The sequence below is a fragment of the Homo sapiens genome, chromosome 2 (genome assembly GCF_000001405.40).
Source record: "Homo sapiens chromosome 2, GRCh38.p14 Primary Assembly".
Taxonomy (NCBI): domain Eukaryota; kingdom Metazoa; phylum Chordata; class Mammalia; order Primates; family Hominidae; genus Homo; species Homo sapiens.
The window spans coordinates 135,829,009-135,850,379 of record NC_000002.12 but is presented as its reverse complement, the minus strand read 5'-3'; the positions used below and the strand labels follow the sequence as shown (position 1 = coordinate 135,850,379).

Here is a 21,371-nt window from a genome sequence, read left to right as displayed (position 1 = left end):
CTAAATCCCCATGACACACAGTTTACCTATGTAACAAACCTGCATGTGTACCCCCGAACCTAAAATATAAGTTGGAAATTAAAAAAAAACGAGAGGGAGAATAGAGCATCACAACCAGAGTGCTGAGATGAATTACTTTATTACCAAAGAAGGAGGAGGACTCAGGGAGGTGCCGACGTTTAAACCCAGTCACTGAAGGGTGTGCAGAATTTGGATAGGCAAGATACCCTGGGACAAGGTCATTCTAAAACCATGCTAACATTTGTACTTTTTTTTTCATTGTGATAGTTCCTGAAATGAGTTGCATAAAACTGGTACATGTCTTAGGGCAGTCTCTAATTGATTTTTATTTTGTTCTATTTTTAAAAATTAGTCTTCAAATAGCAGATTCACATGATATTAAAATATATGCACATAAATTATATACACAAATATATTTTCTGAATGAAATTTAGTATCTGCATATATTTAAGAGCTATTTCTGTCTCATATGTTCATAATCTTCATCCATTAAAAAAACTTTTGTTAGGCCTTTCTCACTCTAAGATTATAAAAAATTCTCCCATTATTTACCTAGCTAGTTTTCTAGTTGTTCCAAAACCATTTATTGAACAATCCATCTTTTTGACACTGGTTTGGCATGCCTTAATTATATATTCTTGTGTGTGTTAGGATCTCCTTTTGGACTTTCCATTCTGTTCATTGAGTCTTATCAGCTCCTCTTACATTGGTACCATGATGTTTTAATCTATGGGGCTTTGTAGTTTAAATGTAGGGCTAGTTCCAGCGCATTGTTCTCTATCAGCTGTTAGGAACTTAGAAATCAGCTTGCTCTGTTTTAAAGAAAAACCTGGTATTTTTTTATCAGTATAACATTCTATTTATATTAACTTGAAGAATTGAAAACATCTATGATTTTTCCTATTCAGTAACGTATCACTTAGAATAGGTTAGGTTGTACTACTATAAAATCTCAGCTGCATAAAACAATTTTTTTTTGCTTGTGCTACACATCCATTAGGTCATCAAGGGACTCACCTTGTCAAGTTACTCAGAGATTCAGGCTGATATAAAGGTTTGATCTTGACATACGCTTTCATGATGACAGAAAGCAGGGAAGAGAAGGTGGTGAGCCATGTGCTTTCTCCCCCTTCTATCCAGAAATGACACATACTCACATTTCATTCGCCAGAGAAATTAACATGGCCCCTCCTAAGTTCAAATGGATAGAGAAATGCCTTCCTACCAGGTGCCCAGAATTAGAAGAGCAAACATTTGTGAACAGTTCTGAGTACCACAAATACCGTTATCTTTCCACTTAAGTCTTCTGTTTCACTCAGTAGTGCTTTAAACTTTTCTTCATATGTTTTTCAGTGTTTCTTGTTGAATTTCTTGATATTTTATCATGTTTGTTCGTACTGGGAGTAGCCTTTTTTTCCATTTCATTTTCTGGCTGGTTTCATTGCTGGTTGTTTTTTTGTTTTGTTTTGTTTTTGAGATGGAGTCTCACTCTGTCGCCCAGGCTGGAGTGCAGTGTCACAATCTCGGCTCACTGCAACCTCTGCCTCCCAGGTTCAAGCGATTCTTCTTTCTCAGCCTCCTGAGTAGCTGGGATTACAGGCATGTGCCACCATGCCCAGCTAATTTTTTATATTTTTAGTAGAGATGGGGTTTCTCCATGTTGGTCAGGCTGGTCTCAAACTCCCAATCTCAGGTGATCCGCCTGCCTCTGCCTTCCAAAGTGCTGGGATTATAGACATGAGCCACCGTGCCTGGCCTAGTTCTTATGGGATGTATATGTCTTTGGATTCATATGATATGTATATATGTTTATATTTCTACAAGTACATACCTAGGAGTGGAATTGTTGGGTCATAGGTTAATGCATGTTTTTCTGCCAAACAGTTGTGTCAATTTCTGTTTTCACCGCTGTGAATGAGAGTTGTTCTACCTTCTTGACAACACTTGATATTGTCAGTCATTTTAGCCATTCTGGTGAATTTATAGTGCTATTTCTGTGTGTGTAAGAGAGAGAATGAGAGAGGGTGTTTGTGAGAAAACCAAAGCAACACTGTGAGAGTGTGTGTGTTTGTGAGAAAACCAAAATACATACTACTGTGATTTCATTGGGAGAAAATCTGTTTGGTATATCAAAAAAAGTAGCTTAATTACTTCATCATTATTGGTTTAGGTCCAACCTAAACATGTGAAGGAAGCTTTCCGGTTACTGAATAAATCAATCATCCGTGTGGAAACACCTGATGTCAATCTAGATCAAGAGGAAGAGATCCAGATGGAGGTAGATGAGGGTGCTGGTGGCATCAATGGTGAGATACTTGTTCATGTGACTGTTTTGGAGTTAGGGACCAAAACATTTTCTGAGATGTCATGTGGTAGAAGTACACCTGCTGTTGGCTAATAGTCTATGGTAGCAAAACGGAAAAAGCAGATACTGAATTCTATTCACTGTTTACAAGTTAAAATGAAATTAAATAGTTGATATAAAATATATATACTTGGCTGGGCACGGTGGCTCTCGCCTATAATTCCAGCACTTTGGGAGGCTGAGATAGGTGGATCACAAGGTCAGGAGTTTGAGACCACCCTGGCCAATATGGTGAAACCCCTTCTCTACTAAAAATGCAAAAATTAGCCAGGCGTGGTGGCGGCTGCCTGTAGCCCCAGCTACCTGGGAGGCTGAGGCAGGAGAATCACTTGAACCCGGGAGGCGGAGGTTGCAGTGAGCTGAGATTGTGCCACTGCACTCCAGCCTGGGTGACAGAGCGAGACTCTGTCTCAAAAAATACATAGATATTTGAAAGACTAAAAGAAAAGGCAGCAAAATGGTGATAATAGACATAAATCCCCTGGGTTTTACCCTTATTTGTATTGTTGTTTTGCTTCTGAATTGAAAACATTTTTTCAAGCACATTAGAACAGAAAAATACTAGAAATTTTATTTATTTTGAGATGGGGTCTCATTCTGTCACCCAGGCTTGAATGCCTTGGTACACTCATGGCACTGCAGCCTTAACTTCCTGGGCTCAAGCAGTCCTTCTCCCTATCCTCTCTAATAGCTGGGACATATGCCCACGCCACCACTCCTGGCTAATTTTTTGAGAATTTTTTCTAGAGACAGGATCTCGCCATATTGCCCAGACTGGTAGAATTTTTTATTTTGTATATAATACTGCAAGTGGACTTTCAGATTGTGAAATCTTTATATCTCTGATCCCTCACGTTCCTCCCAAGTTAGTTTTTGTCTTTACTAGTAGAGTTTATACATTTGCTTCTAATTTATTTGAAAATTCTTATATGCTATGTATAACTGTATGCATGTTTTTTTTTGTTTGTTTTTTGTTTTTTTTTATTTTTGAGATGGAGTTTTGCTTTTGTTGCCCAGGCTGGAGTACAATGGTGCAATCTCATCTCACTGCAACCTTTGCCTCCCGGGTTCAAGCAATTCTCCTGCCTCAGGCTTCCGAGTAGCTGGGATTACAGGCACCCACCACCACACCCAGCTAATTTTTGTATTTTTAGTATAGACAGGATTTCACCATGTTGGCCAGGCTGGTCTCAAACTCCTGACCTCAGGTGATGTGCTTCCCTTGGCCTTGCAAAGTGCTGGGATTACAGGTGTGAGCCACTGCACCTAGCCGGTTTATTTTGTTTTTCATTTTTATTTTTTGGCAGAGGAGATCATGTGGGAATGTATGCTTGTTTTAAAATTAGTGTTAAGGCTGGATGTGGTGGCCCACACCTGTAATCCCAGCACTTGGGAGACCAAGACAGGAGGATCAGTTGAGTCCGGTAGTTCGAGACCAGCCTGGGCAGCATAGCAAGACCCTGTCTCTAAAACAAATAATAATAATAATTTTTAAAAGTGAAAAAAATCAGTATTAAATGTAAGTAGTGTATTTGTAAATGCTTGACAAGGGGATGTTAAGGGCACAAAAATAAGATTCAGGTGGTCAATTTTTCACTTAGGTCATGCTGACAGCCCTGCTCCTGTGAACGGGATCAATGGCTACAATGAAGACATAAATCAAGAGTCTGCTCCCAAAGCCTCCTTAAGGCTGGGCTTCTCTGAGTACTGCCGAATCTCTAACCTTATTGTGCTTCACCTCAGAAAGGTGGAAGAAGGTGAGGCTTACCTGGTACTGCTTACATGCTCGGTCACTTCTGTAAGCTCTGTTCACATAGGCCACTTGTGATTGCCAAACTTCGTGTTGTTCTGTCGGAAGAGAGGATAAGTTGTTAGATAAACTCACTTTAGCAAAGTAAATTTGTGGAGTATCAGCATACCTGCCAGCCTGAACATTTCTTCACAAGCTTATTGTCAGGCAAAGCTTTGTAGGTCCTTCTTTTTAACATTCTGGGCCTATTTTAATAATTTTGGGACCTGATAACATATGAAGCAGCACATACAAATGTTTTTACAAATGCAAAATTACTATTCCCTTACAATGGTTCTGTTTAAAACAGCTGGACCCCTAGGGTATATTTTAACAGTAATTAATTGAGCCTAGAAATCTATACTATCAAAAGGCCATTGCAGACTAGAAATGGAGTAAAATCCTCATGTAGTTATTGGTAAAGTGTGGCGTCTGGACACTAGTACGCTTCCTACCCTTAACTGCTTTACCATGCTATTCAAAGTTTTATCACCCTATAGTTAACTACAAAGCAGAAGGAAAAATGATGAATTCAAGATGTTGAACCTAAACTTCTACTTGATAGTTAAGCATCAGATAATTCTTGATTAAAAGCCCCAAGGATGGCTTGTGCTGGCTTTCTGGAATATTTTGTCATCACAGTATTTGCTCTGCTATGAAAGAAGAGAACAAGAGATTGTAGTTTCTGCCCTTGTTCCCCTGGGAACTTTAGACCAGTAGGAGAGAAGGCAACAAAGTGGCCACTAGGACGCCTCAGCTTTTGTCCTCATTCGCGTCTCACACAAAATGATTTGGGAACTCAAGGTGTTCTTGATTCATGTTATATGTCATTATTCTCTTTCTCCCTCATACAAGTAAGTTTTAAACACAGCAGAAGTTGAGTTTTATGATAGTTATGTTATCCAGGTCCAAACATTTCCTATGTGTTGAGGGTTCTTACCAGGACTTTCTAAAAGTCTGGTAGACCTTGGACTTGTTAAAAGCAGCAGGCAGTTCACTTAGTAAGATGAACCTTGCTAAAATAAACAGGTAATTTTTTATTTTGAGTGAATACTCATGAATTTTACTTCTTAGTAAACTCCAGTTCCATAAAGCCTTCCCCTTTCTACAGAGGAAAAGTTGTTATATTTCAGAATTTTTGCTTGCTGTTGCTTCATTCCTAATTTATGCTTTTAGTTTCTGTTGGCAAGCATTCTCAGAGGTGGTGAAGCATAAGAAGATGAAGAAAAGACCTTCATACTTTGAAATCTTAATAGCTTTAAGAAACATATTTCTTATAATCTATTTTATTAGGTTTCTCTCCTTATGGATAAAATAAGGCATGCTTTAATACAAGTGATATGACTTGTTATTTCAGGCTTATGCTAGAACATTGCGGACCTTACGTCACCAGATGTACTTTCGGACGGCTTGACATTTATCTAATCTGTACATTATCTCGTTGTATATGTGGCAGAGATTTACCCAAGGACTGACAGTACGAGTTGCTAGGATAATTTGAATGTGTTTTTTTGTTGCAGAAGAGGACGAGTCAGCATTAAAGAGGAGCGAGCTTGTTAACTGGTACTTGAAGGAAATCGAATCAGAGATAGACTCTGAAGAAGAACTTATAAATAAAAAAAGAATCATAGAGAAAGTTATTCATCGACTCACACACTATGTAGGTGCAGAAGTGCGCGTGCTCTGGTATCAGGGAGGGAGGGAGTTCATGCCCTGTATCTGCAGGTTCACTAGTGAAATTTTTTTTGACCTTTGTTTGTTTTGAATCATTGGAGTGTAGTCAGAAGTATGAGTTGTAAAATAAGAGAGAATGAACAGCAGGTAAATGACTTATTTCCTCTGCTGAAACAAGCAGAATTTAGGTTAAATCTCAGAAGGTGGGATTGAAGTCTTACTAGTTAGGTGTTTTAAGCTTCTGTTTCCCATCCTCATATTTGCCCTTGGTCGTACTGCTGTCACCTACTTTCTATGTTTCATTTTCCTCACATTCTTAGTTCCCACCTTACCCAACCCAATAGTCAATCTTCCATCTTACTTGCTTGGCGAAACCCCAAACTTGGTTAAATATAACTTTTTTTTTTTTTTGTATCCTTATCTAAGCAGCTGAAAGTATCTGGAGAAAAGCATATAATTATGAGCCCAGTCTTATTTAAATCGATGACCAGAAATCTCAAGTGGACAGTTCTTACTGTCTCATCAACCTCATGACAGCACTGCCCAGTGCAATTCCTTTTCCCGGGTCAGTTCTTTGCCTCACTCTCTCACAGGCCCATCACATACCTTCTCTCCACTCCTGTCAGCTGGCCATTCTCAGTACTCAGCCTGTCCACAGCTTTGTCACAGTTGATCACTCCTACAAATAGTGTCTTCCTCACTTGGTTCTGAGTCACTGTATCCTCCTGGGGCTTCTTTCTCACTGGTTATTCCCTCTTAGTCTCTTTCCCTGAATGGTTTTGTTTTTTTTTTTTTTTTTTGAGACAGAGTTTCGCTCTTGTTGCCCATGCTGGAGTGCAGTGGCATAGCTCACTGCAGCTTCCACCTCCTGGGTTCAAGCGATTCTCCTGTCTCAGCCTCCCAAGTAGGATTACAGGCGCCGGCCACCACGCCCGGCTAATTTTTTAATTTTTTTTTTTTAGTAGAGATGGGGTTTTGCCATGTTGGCCAGGCTGATCTAGAACTCCTAACCTCAGGCGATACGCTCACTTTGGCCTCCCAAACTGCTGGGATTACAGGCGTGAGCCACCGTGCCTGGCCTGAATCTTTCTCTTCTTACTTTACTCTCAGATAGTTTACATTCATTACCTAAGTGATCTCATTTGGTTTTATGAATTTATCCATCTACTGATGACTTCCACATTTATGTCACCAGCTCTCACCACTCCTGTAAACTCCAGATGTATAGAGCTGGTTGCCTACTGATGAGCGTTTAACAGGCATCTCGTGCTTAATGTGTTCAAAAACAGAGTTGTTCTTCCCTGTTTGCAGTTGAGTTGTTCTTACTCAATTGCTATAGGCCAAATGCCTTGGAATTGTCTTTGACTCCTTGATTCCACTCTCCCCTCACAGCTCCTCTTCAGCAGCAAATCCTCTGACCCCCAGCTTCAGTGTGTGTATATTTTCTTTTCTCTTTTTACCGCCTTCACCAGCCCACCCAAGCCACCAGGCATGGACTGTTGCAGAAGCCTCATAAAATTGTCCTTTTTTTGTATTGGCTTCTTGCTCAGCAGCCAGATAAGTCTTTTTAAAATATAAATCAGATTATTTTACTACCCTCCCTTCCAGTGCTTCTCTCACATTAGAAGGAAATTCAGCCTCCTTGTCATGGCCTGCAGAACTATTATACAGTGTAACCCCTGTCCCCTCATTCACCTAATTTCACAGCAGTCTTCCCCATACCCATTTCACCCCAGTGACACTGGCCTTGATCCCTAGGCACACCAAATATGAGGGCCTTTGCACTCACCCTTTGTCCATTTCCCTAGATATCCTCCTCCTCTCCAATGTCTGCTCAAATGTTACCTCTTCAAAGAAACCTTTCTTGCTAGCCTGCCAAAATAGTAGCCTTCTGCTCTTGCTGTCACCCTGCCTTGTATTTCTTCGTAATGTTTAACATGGCCCAGCAGTATATTCTTTATTTAAGTGGTTAGTTTGTCTCTCTTATGGAATATAAGCTCTGTGAGGGTAGAGACTTTGCCCCGGAGCTACAGTGGTACCTGGCACATAGCAGGATCAAATATATGTTGAATGGTTAAATTTTCCTATTATGTGGCAGAGATTTAACTGTCGTGCCAATTCACAGGGCTCACTATATAAATATTACAGAGGTCATGTATTGGGGTTGTGTCTTCTCAAAAACCGTTTTCCTGTGAAGGTAGATCAGTCTGTGATTATTGAGGGGTAGGGAGGTGTAAGAACAGCTACTCAGATCAGGGTCCAGAGTTGCTTTTCTAGTGGTGGGACATGTCTGTGTGCTCCTTGGGATCAGTGTAAAGTAAAACGACCCAGGCAAGGAATCTGCTTCAGGACTTTGGAACACACTGTGAAGCTAACTGATCTAAACTTGAATTACCTATTTATTTATTTATTTATTTATTTATCTTTTGAGAGAGTCTTGCTCTGTTGCCCAGACTGGAGTGCAGTAGCATGATCTCAGCTCGCCGCAACTTCCGCCTTCTGGGTTTAAATGATTCTCTTATCTCAGCCTCCAGAGTAGCTGGGATTACAGGTGCCCGCCACCACTCCCAGCTAATTTTTGTATTTTTAGTAGAGATGGTGTTTCACCATGTTGGCCAGGCTGGTCTCAAACTCCTGACCTCAGGTGATCCACCCACCTCAGCCTCCCAAAGTGCTGGGATTACAGGCATGAGCTACTGCGCTCAGCCTGGATTACCTTTTAAAATTTGGCTTACCACCTGAACTAATTTGCTACAGAAAACTAGAGAGCTTATACTGTGCTGATGAGATATGATGCTTCCTATGAAGGTATGTTAACACATAGAGTGAGTGCTTGAAAGTGTCCAATCTAACTTCAGGGGTAGATTTGAAAGGGCAATTTTTTAAAAAGTGTCCAGTCCCCCTTAGTGGCTTCAGTGTTTATACTGTGGAGCCTTGCCAGACTTCTTAGGATCAAATCACAGTTTCCTGAGTTCCTTTCTATGGGCTTGGCTAGGAGCTCTTCTCATTTGTGGACAGTTTTGACTAACCTGTAATTATATCGTGGGCTTAAAATCTGTCATCAAGATTTTAAGCCAGATGGCATGTTCTACCTTTTTTTTTATTAGCTCAGAGTGAAAAATTTTTCAGATGAATTTTCATAGATTCTTCTCCTAACTCTATGAAATGGTGGTATATGAAAAAGTTCAGTGGTCATAATTAAAAATTGCTGAATGATATTAAGTATGAAACAGACTTCCAATTAATTAGAAGATTTTGCAGAGTTGTTTAACCTTAAAATTCAAGCATTACTTCCTTTTTTGAAGTTGTATTTACAAGCATTTGATGTAATATATTTAAGTATTTCTTAATTTTCCACAAGGGGTTTATGGTATGAAAAGGTCAGCATCCTACTAGGAACAGGGTTTAGCAGAGCACTGATAGTGATTTTTAAAGTGTGGTCCTTTTCCTAGGAGTTTCTAGTTGGGAAATGAAAGAAAATGTTGATAGCAAACACTCGGAAGAAGGGTCAAGTCTTGTATATCTGGACATTGGTATAATACTGCTTGAAACCTGAGGACAAATATTTGTGTTTCACAGGATCATGTTCTAATTGAGCTCACCCAGGCTGGATTGAAAGGCTCCACAGAGGGAAGTGAGAGCTATGAAGAAGATCCCTACTTGGTAGTTAACCCTAACTACTTGCTCGAAGATTGAGATAGTGAAAGTAACTGACCAGAGCTGAGGAACTGTGGCACAGCACCTCGTGGCCTGGAGCCTGGCTGGAGCTCTGCTAGGGACAGAAGTGTTTCTGGAAGTGATGCTTCCAGGATTTGTTTTCAGAAACAAGAATTGAGTTGATGGTCCTATGTGTCACATTCATCACAGGTTTCATACCAACACAGGCTTCAGCACTTCCTTTGGTGTGTTTCCTGTCCCAGTGAAGTTGGAACCAAATAATGTGTAGTCTCTATAACCAATACCTTTGTTTTCATGTGTAAGAAAAGGCCCATTACTTTTAAGGTATGTGCTGTCCTATTGAGCAAATAACTTTTTTTCAATTGCCAGCTACTGCTTTTATTCATCAAAATAAAATAACTTGTTCTGAAGTTGTCTATTGGATTTCTTTCTACTGTACCCTGATTATTACTTCCATCTACTTCTGAATGTGAGACTTTCCCTTTTTGCTTAACCTGGAGTGAAGAGGTAGAACTGTGGTATTATGGATGAGGTTTCTATGAGAAGGAGTCATTAGAGAACTCATATGAAAGCTAGAGGCCTTAGAGATGACTTTCCAAGGTTAATTCCAGTTGTTTTTTTTTTTTTTTAAGTTTATAAAAGTTTATTATACTTTTTTAAAATTACTCTTTAGTAATTTATTTTACTTCTGTGTCCTAAGGGTAATTTCTCAGGATTGTTTTCAAATTGCTTTTTTAGGGGAAATAGGTCATTTGCTATATTACAAGCAATCCCCAAATTTTATGGTCTTCCAGGAAAAGTTATTACCGTTTATGATACTAACAGTTCCTGAGACTTAGCTATGATCAGTATGTTCATGAGGTGGAGCAGTTCCTGTGTTGCAGCTTTTAACAACAGATGGCATTCATTAAATCACAAAGTATGTTAAAGGTCACAAAAGCAAAATAACTGTCTGAGGCTAAGGCCCACGTGGGACAGTCTAATACCCATGAGTACTCAACTTGCCTTGATGTCTGAGCTTTCCAGTGCAATGTGAATTTGAGCAGCCAGAAATCTATTAGTAGAAAGCAAGACAGATTAATATAGGTTAAAACAATGATTTAAATATGTTTCTCCCAATAATTATCTCTTTCCCTGGAATCAACTTGTATGAAACCTTGTCAAAATGTACTCCACAAGTATGTACAATTAAGTATTTTAAAAATAAATGGCAAACATTAAAAACAAGAGTGAATACTCAAGTAGATTTGTCATGGGATTTTTATAAGAAGACTGGTATCAGGTAATGTATCTTTAAAGACTAGGCTGCTCTGCTGACGTAGTAACCATTTTTTATTCCTTTACTTTCCTAATAGCCTTGCTTTCACTTAAGAAAAAAAAAGGCTAGGCACGGTGGCTCACGCCTGTAATCCCAGCACTTTGGGAGGCCAAGGTGAGTAGATCACCTGAGGTCAGGAGTTCGAGACAAGCCTGGCCAACGTGGAGAAAACCTGTCTCTACTAAAAGTACAAAAATTAGCCAGGCATGGTGGTGGGCACCTGTAATCCCAGCTACTCAGGAGGTTGAGGCAGGAGAATTGCTTGAACCCAAGAGGTGGAAGTTGCAGTGAGCTGAGATCATGCCACTGCCCTCCAGCTTGGGCGGCAACAACAACAACAAAAAAAGATTCCCAGGCTTCACCCTCTACAGTCTATGGAAAGTCATGGGAGTCTATTAAAAAAAAACAGACACTATAAACCAAATTAAAAGATGGGAAAATTTTTCTATCACGTTTTAATATGTGATATCCAAACTCCCATTAAGAATTTTTATATCAGTAATAAGATAAAACTCAGAAGAAAAATGCCCAATTAACAAGAAGAGCTTCACCTCTTAAATAATCAGAAAAAGAAAAGCACATAATATTTACGTCAAAGTATCAAAAATGTAAAAGTTTTATAATAGGCATTAGCAAGGCAGACGGATACAGGCACACATCTAACTCTATGTAGGATTTAACTTGGAAGACAATTTGCATTTCAATCAATCAAAAACCATTTTTTTTTTTGAGATGATCTCCCTGTGTTGCCCAGACTGGCCTCAAGCTCCTGGGCTTGAGCAGTCCTACAGTCTGAGCCTCCAAAAGTACTGGCAAAACAGGCGTGATTGACCATGCCCAGCCTGTATATAAGGATATTCATTTGCAGCATTGTTTGCAACACAAAAATGTAAAACCAACCGGTGTTTAATATGCAAGATGTTAATTTATGGTACATTCTTGCTGTGGAAAGCTATGCATCTGTTAGAGGTGGGTCTATATGTTCTGATACAGGCAGAACTCTAAGAGCTATTAAGTGAAGAAAAGGCTGAAAATACATATGGCATAATTCCATATATGTTAAATTGTTCTATATTTTAAATGTTATACACGTTTCCATTTGTATTTACGTAATAATAATGATCCCTGAGCTGTACTGTTGTATACATGCTACAAGAAAGACCCATTTAATCCCCACAGCCTATGATGAATTATCCACATTCTACAGGTGACAAAATAGAGGCACAAAGTTAAGTAATTTTTGTCAGGTGAGATTTAAACCCAGGCATTCTGACTCCTGTATAACCATTAAGATATGCAGAGAAAGAAAACTGGAAAGATACATATTGCTGAAGATACTTATTATAGGAAGAGGAGGGGGGAGGGTGAAGGAATTTGCAAGTTTTTCATAGATGTTTCCATATTGTTTGAATCTCTTACAAAATATGTTCAGCATATTTTTAAAGAGAAAATTTGGGGCAAAATACTTATTTTTGTATTATGTAAACAAATTTTAAAATAATGTGTGGCTGGGTGCGCTGGCTCACACCTGTAATCCCAACACTTTAGGAGGCTGAGGCAAGAGGATTGCTTGAGCCCAGGAGTTCAAGACCAGCCTGGGTGACATGGCAAAACTCCATCTCTACTAAAAATACAAAAAATTAGCCAGTCGTGGTGGCGCACACCTATGGTCCCACCTACCCAGGATGCTGAGATGGGAGGATCACTTGAGCCCAGGAAGTCAAGGCTGCAGGAAGCTGTGATCGCACCACTGCACTCCCACCTGGGCAACAGAGTGAGACCCGGTCACCAAAAAACAAAAAAAACAAAAAAAATTGGTAATCGTTTTCTTCAGACATTTTCCGGGTTCCTCTGCTTAACTTGTATAGGAAGTCTGAGGTTTTTGTGTTGGTCTTTACCTTTTTTTTTTTTTTTTTTTTTTAAGATGGAGTCTCATTCTGTTGCCCAGGCTGGAGTGCAGTGGCATGATCTTGGCTCCTGCAACCTCCGCCTCCTGGGTTCAAGTGATTCTCCTGCCTCAGCCTCCTGAGTAGCCGGGACTACAGGCGCATGCCACGATGCCTGGCTAATTTTTTGTATTTTTAGTAGAGATGGGGTTTCACCATGTTAGCTAGGACGGTCTCGATCTCCTGACCTCGTGATCCGCCCACCTCGGCCTCCCAAAGTGCTGGAATTACAGGTGTGAGCCACCACGCCCGGCCCTGATCTTTACATTTTTAAATATTGCATTAGTGAACCGTGTACTGATTTTGTGATCATAGATAACCCAGTTAAATATTAAGTCTTAATTATCACTTAGTATTTTACAACCTCAGTTGCAGTTATAAAGTAAGGGTTCCACATACCTCCTAACAGTTCCTAGAAAATGGAGCTGTCTTGGCATGTAGTCTTTATTGCCCTGCTAAGTTTTTCATGCTGGGGGTCAGACTGGGAGTCTGATAGAAATTTCATTTCCACCGCTGGTCCTCTAACCAATGACTTGCTGCACAACCTGAGTGGTCTCCTGGGAGACCAGAGTTCTAACTTTGTAGCAGGGGACAAAGACATGTATGTTTGTCACCAGCCACTGCCCACTTTCCTGCCAGAATACTTCAGCAGTCTCCATGCCAGTCAGATCACCCATTATAAGGTATTTCTGTCATGGGCACAGCTCCTCCCAGCAGGAAGCACCCAGAATCCAGACGAGAAAACAGTGCAGTGCTACCGGCGACTCCTCAAGGCCCTCAAGACTGCACGGCTTCAGCCCATGGTCATCCTGCACCACCAGACCCTCCCTGCCAGCACCCTCCGGAGAACCGAAGCCTTTGCTGACCTCTTCGCCGACTATGCCACATTCGCCTTCCACTCCTTCGGGGACCTAGTTGGGATCTGGTTCACCTTCAGTGACTTGGAGGAAGTGATCAAGGAGCTTCCCCACCAGGAATCAAGAGCGTCACAACTCCAGACCCTCAGTGATGCCCACAGAAAAGCCTATGAGATTTACCACGAAAGCTATGCTTTTCAGGGTGAGTACACATTGACCTGATGGTGACCCCTCGGCAACCTTCATCACACACCTTCCCCATCCTCCTTAGAGCAGATTCGACATTTCTCCCAACTCACCTTCAGCAGTCCTCTTATGTCTGTGCATAGGGAGAAATTAATATTGTAAATTGATTTCCCACTGGCGATAGGAAGGGGTAGCTAACATGGCAAAACACTCAGCATTTCCTTTGAAAAATATCTTTGAGGCTCACGCCTGTAATCCTAGCACTTTGGGAGGCCGAGGTGGGCGGATCACTTGAAGTCAGGAGTTCGAGACCAGCCTGGCCAATATGGCAAAACCCCGTCTCTACTAAAAATACCAAAATTAGCCAGGGATGGTAGCAGGCGCCTGTGATCCCAGCTACTCGGGAGGCTTAGGCAGGAGAATTGCTTGAACCCAGGAGGCAGATGTTGCAGTGAGCCGAAATCATGCCACTGTACTACAGCCTGTGCGACAGAGCAAGACACAATCTCAAAAAAAAAAAATATGTATACATATATATATATATATATATATATATATATATATATATACACACATGTATTTTTGAAATACCCCTTGCCCAGTCTTGAGTTGTGCAAGCACTGATTGTCTTTCTGTCTTCCTTTCCGTCTATGTCCTGCTACCCTGACTTGGAGGCAAAGTTTCGTGGTTTCCTGTCCTTCCCCCTCGGCTCCCCTATACTTACATGTCTTAGTTGGAGCTTACATTGCAGCTTGGGAGACAGACAAATACAAGATGAAACAATTATATATCACAGGATGAGGAGAGCACAACTGTAACTGTTCACATTCCTGCCTCCTAGGGGACTTGAAGTTCTGATCTGTAGGCCTAGGCTGAACCAGGACATTTGTGATTATAATCAATTCCCTAAGTGTATGTTAGGTACACCAATTTTGAGAATCAATTTTGGATTATATATGCTTTCTTGTTTTTATTATATACCATATACATACATATTTGTATATATAGTACCTGATATATATATATATATATATATATATATATATATATATATATATATATACTTCTATGTTCTACTTTTTCATTTTAACATAGTTTATGACTATATTCTCATTTTATTAAAAACTTGAGCCAGGCATGGTGGCTCATGCCTATAATCCCAGCACGTTAGGAGGCCAAGGCAGGGGGATTGCTTGAGGCCAGGAGTTGGAGACCAGCCTGGGCAACATAGAGAGCCACTATCTCTAAAATAATATAATAATTTACTCCAGTGCTGGAATAGTATTGCTTAAAACAAAAGAAAAACTTGAAAGCATAACTTTCAATGGTCTTTTAGGTTCCCATTGTATAAATGGAGCATAAAGTTTAAGGTATTTTCCTTATTTTTGTATGTTTATTCTAATTTTCACTAGTTACAAGTTATGTTGCAATGACATTCCTATCTATAAACTATTTCCCACCTTCTGATAAATTCTTTCTGACAGAATCTTAGAATTGAAACTACTAGGTGAAAAGATCTGCATTCTTTAAGATTTTAAAGCATGGTACTAAATTATTTTCCAGAAAAGTTGTAATCATTTATACGAACAGTTATAAAATTACTCTCTGACCCCATTCTGTCAGTTTCAAATGCTATATTTTATTACTAATTTGACAGCTGAAAACAGCTTATTTTCATGTCTTGTTAATTTGCATGTATTTGATTATAGAGACGTTAAACATTTTTTTCTTCTTCTTTTTTTTTTTTTTTTTTTTTTTGAGATGGAGTCTCACTCTTTTGTCCAGGCTGGAGTGCAGTGGTGTGATCTCGGCTCACTGCAACCTCTGCCTCCCGAGTTCAAGCAATTCTCCTGCCTCAGCCTTCCCAGTAGCTGGGATTACAGGCACGCACCACCACATCTGGCTAATTTTTGTATTTTTAGTAGAGATGGGGTTTCACCGTGTTGGCCAGGCTGGACTCAAACTTCTGATCTCAGGTGATCCGCCCGCCTCGGACTCCCAAAATGCTGGGATTACAGGCGTGAGCCACCACGCCCGGCCTTAAACAAAAAAATAAAATAAGGCCAGGCGTGGTGGTTCACGCTTGTAATCCCAGCACTTTGGGAGGCTGAGGCAGGCGGGTCACAAGGTCAGAAGATCGAGACCATCCTGGCTAACACGGTGAAACCCCATCTCTACTAAAAATACAAAAAATTAGCGAGGCGTGGTAGCACGTGTCTGTAGTCCCAGCTACTCAGGAGGCTGAGGCAGGAGAATCGCTTGAACCTGGGAGGCGGAGGTTGCAGTGAGCCGAGACTGCGCCATTGCACTCCAGCCTGGGCGACAGAGCGAGACTCTGTCTCAAAAATAAATGAAAAATAAACTAGGACATCATAGCTGCCTTATTCACAATAGCCAAAAGGTGGAAGCAACCCAGATATCCACTGATGGATGAATGGATAAACGAGACGTGGCATAGACATAAAATGGAATATTACTCCACATTTATTAAAAAGGGAAGAAATCATCACATGCTACAACATGGATGAACCTTGAGGACATTATGCTATGTGAAATAAGCCAGACACAAAAAGACAAACGCTGTATGATTCCATGTATAGGAGGAAACTAGAGCAGTCGAATTCATGGAGAGAGGAAGGAGAATGGCAGAGGCCAGGGGCTGGGGTAGGGGAGAAATGGAGAGCTCTTTAATGGGAGTAGAATTTCTGTTCAGAAAAATGAAAAAGTTCTGGAGATTGGTTGCACAACAATGTGAATATACTTAATAATACTGAACTGTGCACTTAAAAATAGTTAAGATGGCCGGGCGCGGTGGCTCACGCCTGTAATCCCAACACTTTGGGAGGCCAAGGCGGGCAGATCATGAGGTCAGGAGATCGAGACCATCCTGGCTAACCCGGTGCAACTCCGTCTCTACCAAAAATGCAAAAAATTAGCCGGGCGTGGTGGCGGGCCCCTGTAGTCCCAGCTACTCGGGAGGCTGAGGCAGGAGAATGGCGTGAACGCGGGAGGCGGAGCTTTCAGTGAGCCGAGATGGCACGACTGCACTCCAGCCTGGGCGACGGAGCGAGACTCCGTCTCAAAAAAAAAAAAAAAAAAAAAAAGAAGTTTAGGAAGGAGTTCTCTCCTTGCCAACTCTCCAACTGCTCTGCATTTCATAGTCCTGATTTTCACAAAACACTCTCTAAAGGAACATTATTTTTTTAAGCCACCTTGTCTTCTAAAATCTTTCAGCTAGAGTAAAGTCATTTGGATGATTTCTTCAGGTCCATAGGAAATGAATCCCCCAGTGGTTTCCACAGTCAGAGCCTCCTGCCCTCGCTCACCTGCTGTTCGTGTCTCTGGTTGGTTTCAGGCGGAAAACTCTCTGTTGTCCTGCGAGCTGAAGATATCCCGGAGCTCCTGCTAGAACCACCCATATCTGCGCTTGCCCAGGTGACAGCAGCCCAAAAATATACCTGTAACATCTGAGGAGAGTTTGATTTTAATTTTTTAAAAACAAGAGAAGTTTTGGTCTATTGGTTTGACATTTCTGTAAATGCCTCAGAATGAGTGGTGTATGTTCTCCAGGTTCATAATTACCTTAAAAACAAAATCTTGAAGCTGCAGCTCCTGCTTGGTCAAGTGTCAGCTTCCCTGCAGGAAGAAGCCACTTGCCTCTGCTGGCTCTGATTTTTGAGTCCAAAATAGCTTATAGGATAAGAGATGAGATTATGGCAAAACAGGTACTAGGGTAAAGGGGTTTTTCAAAAATGTGCACCTGGCCAAACACGGTGGCTCACTTCTGTAATCCCAGCACTTTGGGAGGCGGAGATGGGAGGGTTGTTTGAGCCAGGAGTTTGAGACCAGCCTGGGCAACATGGCAAAACTCCTTCTTTGCTAAAAATACAAAAATTAGCAAGGCATGGTGATGCATGCCTGTAGTTCCAGCTGCTCGGGAGGATGAGGTGGGAGGATTGCTTGAGCCCTGGAGGTCAAGGCTGCAGTGAACTGTGATCATGTCACTGCACTCCAGCCTGGGTGACACAGCAAGACCCTGTCTTGAAAAAAAAAAATTAAAAATGTACGTATATCCTCTATCACTTTTTATTTTTTATTTTTATTTATTTATTTTTTTACAGACAGGGTCTTGTGGCCTTGCTCTGTCACCCAGGCCAGAGTGCAGTGGCATGATCACAGCTCACTGCAGCCTCTACTTCCAACTCCTGGCCTTGAGCAATCCTCCCACCTCAGCCTCCCAAAGTGTCAGGATTACAGGCATGAGCCACCACACCCAGCCAACTATCACTTTTTAACTATAATTTATATTTTTTATTTTATTTTTTTTTTGAGATGGAGTTTCATTCTTGTTGCCCAGGCTGGAGTGCAGTGGCACGATCTCGGCTCACTGCAACCTCTACACCCTGGATTCAAGTGATTCTCCTGCCTCAGCCTCCCAAGTAGCTGGGATTACAGGTGTGCACCACCACGCCCGGCTAATTTTGTATTTTTAGTAGAGATGGGGTTTCACCATGTTGGTCAGGCTTGTCTCAAACTCCTGACCTCAGGTAATCCACCTGCCTCGGCCTCCCAAAGTGCTGGAATTACAGGCTTGAGCCACCACGCCAGCCTTTAACTATAATTTTTAAAAGAAAAATTAAAATAATCTGGGAAGTGAACAGCTTTGGGCCCCCTTGGGCAGCTGGGCAGTCTGGAAGCCATGGGAACCACCGCCGGTCTCCGTAGTTCTGCAGCATCGCCCTGGTGCTGTAGAGATGTTGTGCTGCTCATTGGCGTCTGTGCGTTGATGGGGGCCCCAGGAGTCAGGGTCTGGTCTTCAGATTTTCCATTTCAAACACGATGGAACCAAGACTGATAAGGTTCTGGAGGGACAACTCCCAGGCTGATTGCACGGCCAGAATGGCACCTAAATTAGTTTACAGAGGGCGATAACTGCTATCAGTTATGAACGCAGGAGACCAAAGTGCTGATCAGAAAAATGCTTGTCGAGAAATAGCCTTTGTACTGGTCTATCTGCCCCAGTCCATGCTGTGAAATGCTTCTGGGTCATCTCCCAAAAGCACAGTTCTGACCAGTTACCTGCTGGGAAGCCACACTTCCGAGTGGGACGAATCCCACAGGACCCTCCAGTGCATGAACGTGTGGGCCTCTCTCTCTGTCTCTCTCTGGCCTCACCTCCTATTTTGTCCATGTGAGTGCTATGCTTGCTTCCTACCCTCCTGCATCCCCTACTGGACGTCCTTCCTGTCTTCCTGCCTTCCTCAAATCTCCTTCCAGCAAAATTTTCTCCATTGTTAATGTACACGTAACTGTGCTCTCCAGCTGAGGCCTCGCTCAGTAACACTCCCTCACTCACCCTGATGCACTCTGTCCCCACCCGGACCCTTAGCCATTGCTTTAGACCAGTGGTTCCCAAGCTTGAGTGGGCATCAGAACCACCTAGAGAGCTAGGAGAGAGCACGGAGACCAAGACTTAATGTGGTGGGACCCACCTGGGCCTGCACAGGCATCCGAAGTCCCCAGGTGAGTCTAATCCCCAGCAAGGCATGAGAACCACTGGTGTGGGCTTCTTACAGCACTTCTAAATTTCTGTCTTCTCCTCGTGTGATTGGTGCATTTGCTAACCCTCCCTATTAAAGGTGTAAACCTCTGTGGATATTATTTATCTCTAAATGTGAATCCCTACCCACCATCCCCACACAGTGTGACTTTCAGAGGTAGGAACTCAGTGACGATGTGTTGTGCAGAACTGACAGACATAAGGAAGAGCTGCGAGAGTGGGCAGGGAATGCTGGAGTGATACCTGCCAGTGTGGTCTTTAGTGAACACTGATGACAACTTGACTGAGAAAGAAACAGGGAGCCAGTAGTGAACCACTTATTAACCCATTTATGCCTGAGGCTGCAATTTTTTGAACTTTTGCAATCAGACCTTAGCGAAGACCTTGAGCAGTAGGATATAAGTAACTTCCACAGGCTTAGCATTCCCATAATGGAACACTAGGCATTCACAGAGCACTTGGTTCTGACCAGGTGACAGTAACCATTAGTCCTTGTCTTGAAGAAGCAGATGATCAGTGGGAGGGATAAGACAGGTAATGATCTAATCAGGCCAAGGGTAGACAGGTACGGCCAGCCAGGCTCGTGGAGGGGAGCGCAGCACTGGGGGTGTTGGCATGGTCCTGTGTAGACTCTGTGAATCTGAAGTTCTTTGAGCACATGCAGGCCAGAGACAGGGCAGAGGGGACATCCTCATCAGAAGTGTGGATGGGGGTGTCGACGACCAGGACCATGAGGGTTGTCTCTGCTAAAGAGGAAGTCCCCAGTGCGTACTCCACAGGCCCTAGCTCTTGGCCTGGCTAGGGATAACTGGGGGTGGACTTCAAACGGTGGCCTGAAATTTAAACCAAAACCAAACACCCGGTAGGATTCACAGGGATGACTGTGGAGCCATGCGTGGCTGAAGGCTCCACCACCCCCATCCTGGCCAAATGTGAGGGTCTATGGAGGAAGCACCAGGGGCAGCACTGGCCTCTAACTGCCTCCCATTTCTGGCATACACACTCCTTCACGCATTCATTTAGCCATCAACACTGCGTGCTTTCTGTGTGCTGAGCACAGAGGCGCATGGATGAGCACATAGGTGATGCATTCCCAACAACATACAGGCACAGGCACCCCCCGCCCCCTACACACACACACACACACACACACACTTTCTCATTCCATCTCCATCTTTTCCTTTGGAAAATCCTGCTTTGGAATATTTGGTTTAGTGATAAGGGGAGAAACAAAAAAGCGTACTTCTGAGAGGCTGTTAGTCTTGACAGTGCTTAGGTTCTAATGACCCTATTTAACTACTATTTTCAGGACACGGTCGATTTCCTCTCTCTTGATTTGTCTTATGAATGCCAAAATGAGGCAAGTCTGCGGCAGAAGCTGAGTAAATTGCAGGTAATTTGAGCCCTTTTCCACATTAATGATGAATGCAGCGAAGGTTTCAGAGAGCAGATTAGACATTTAATGCTTTGGCTACTGCATAAACTGAACTTCCATCAACAGCAGAGACCGGCTGAGTTGTGTCTGGGGAGATTTCCATTGCAAGCATCCCTAGAGAACATCGGATGTTAGGCAGTCTTTCCTAGAAGGGATACAAGGGTTAGCTTGTTAAGGTGAATATTTACATAGATCCTCTGCTTGCTTGTGTAGAAATCTGCCGAGAATTGAGATTCTGGGGTTCATTCTGAGTTTTAAAAAGGCAACTCATCAATGGGGGTGATGGTTCCATAACGATAAGCGTCCACTTAACACCACTGAACTATACATTTAATGGTTATGATGGTAATTTTTTTTTTTGAGATGGAGTCTTCCTCGGTTGCCCAGGCTGGGGTGCAGTGGCGTGATCTTGGCTCACTGCAGCCTCCACCTCCCGGGTTCAAGCGATTCTCCTGCCTCAGCCTCTCCAGTAGCTGAGATGACAGGAACACACAAACACGCCTGGCTAATTTTTGTATTTTTGGTAGAGGCAAGGATTCACC

The 21,371-nt window shown here is 42.2% G+C and overlaps 2 protein-coding genes across 3 annotated transcripts in view; both read left to right on the top strand.

Annotated features, from left to right (window-relative positions):
* MCM6 (minichromosome maintenance complex component 6) overlaps nucleotides 1-10,754 on the top strand; it is a 36,818-nt gene extending 26,064 nt beyond the window's left edge. The window contains exons 14-17 of the mRNA NM_005915.6: nucleotides 2,192-2,327; nucleotides 3,988-4,143; nucleotides 5,696-5,835; nucleotides 9,429-10,754. Coding sequence (NP_005906.2) covers nucleotides 2,192-2,327; nucleotides 3,988-4,143; nucleotides 5,696-5,835; nucleotides 9,429-9,545 — 549 coding nt within the window. The 3' untranslated portion in view covers nucleotides 9,546-10,754. The remainder of the gene's footprint in view (nucleotides 1-2,191; nucleotides 2,328-3,987; nucleotides 4,144-5,695; nucleotides 5,836-9,428) is intronic.
* LCT (lactase) overlaps nucleotides 13,196-21,371 on the top strand; it is a 49,335-nt gene continuing 41,159 nt past the window's right edge. For both annotated transcript variants that reach the window (NM_002299.4, XM_017004088.3), the window contains exons 1-3: nucleotides 13,196-13,850; nucleotides 17,190-17,269; nucleotides 20,704-20,787. In NM_002299.4, the coding sequence (NP_002290.2) occupies nucleotides 13,211-13,850; nucleotides 17,190-17,269; nucleotides 20,704-20,787 (804 nt within the window). In that variant the 5' untranslated portion in view covers nucleotides 13,196-13,210. The remainder of the gene's footprint in view (nucleotides 13,851-17,189; nucleotides 17,270-20,703; nucleotides 20,788-21,371) is intronic.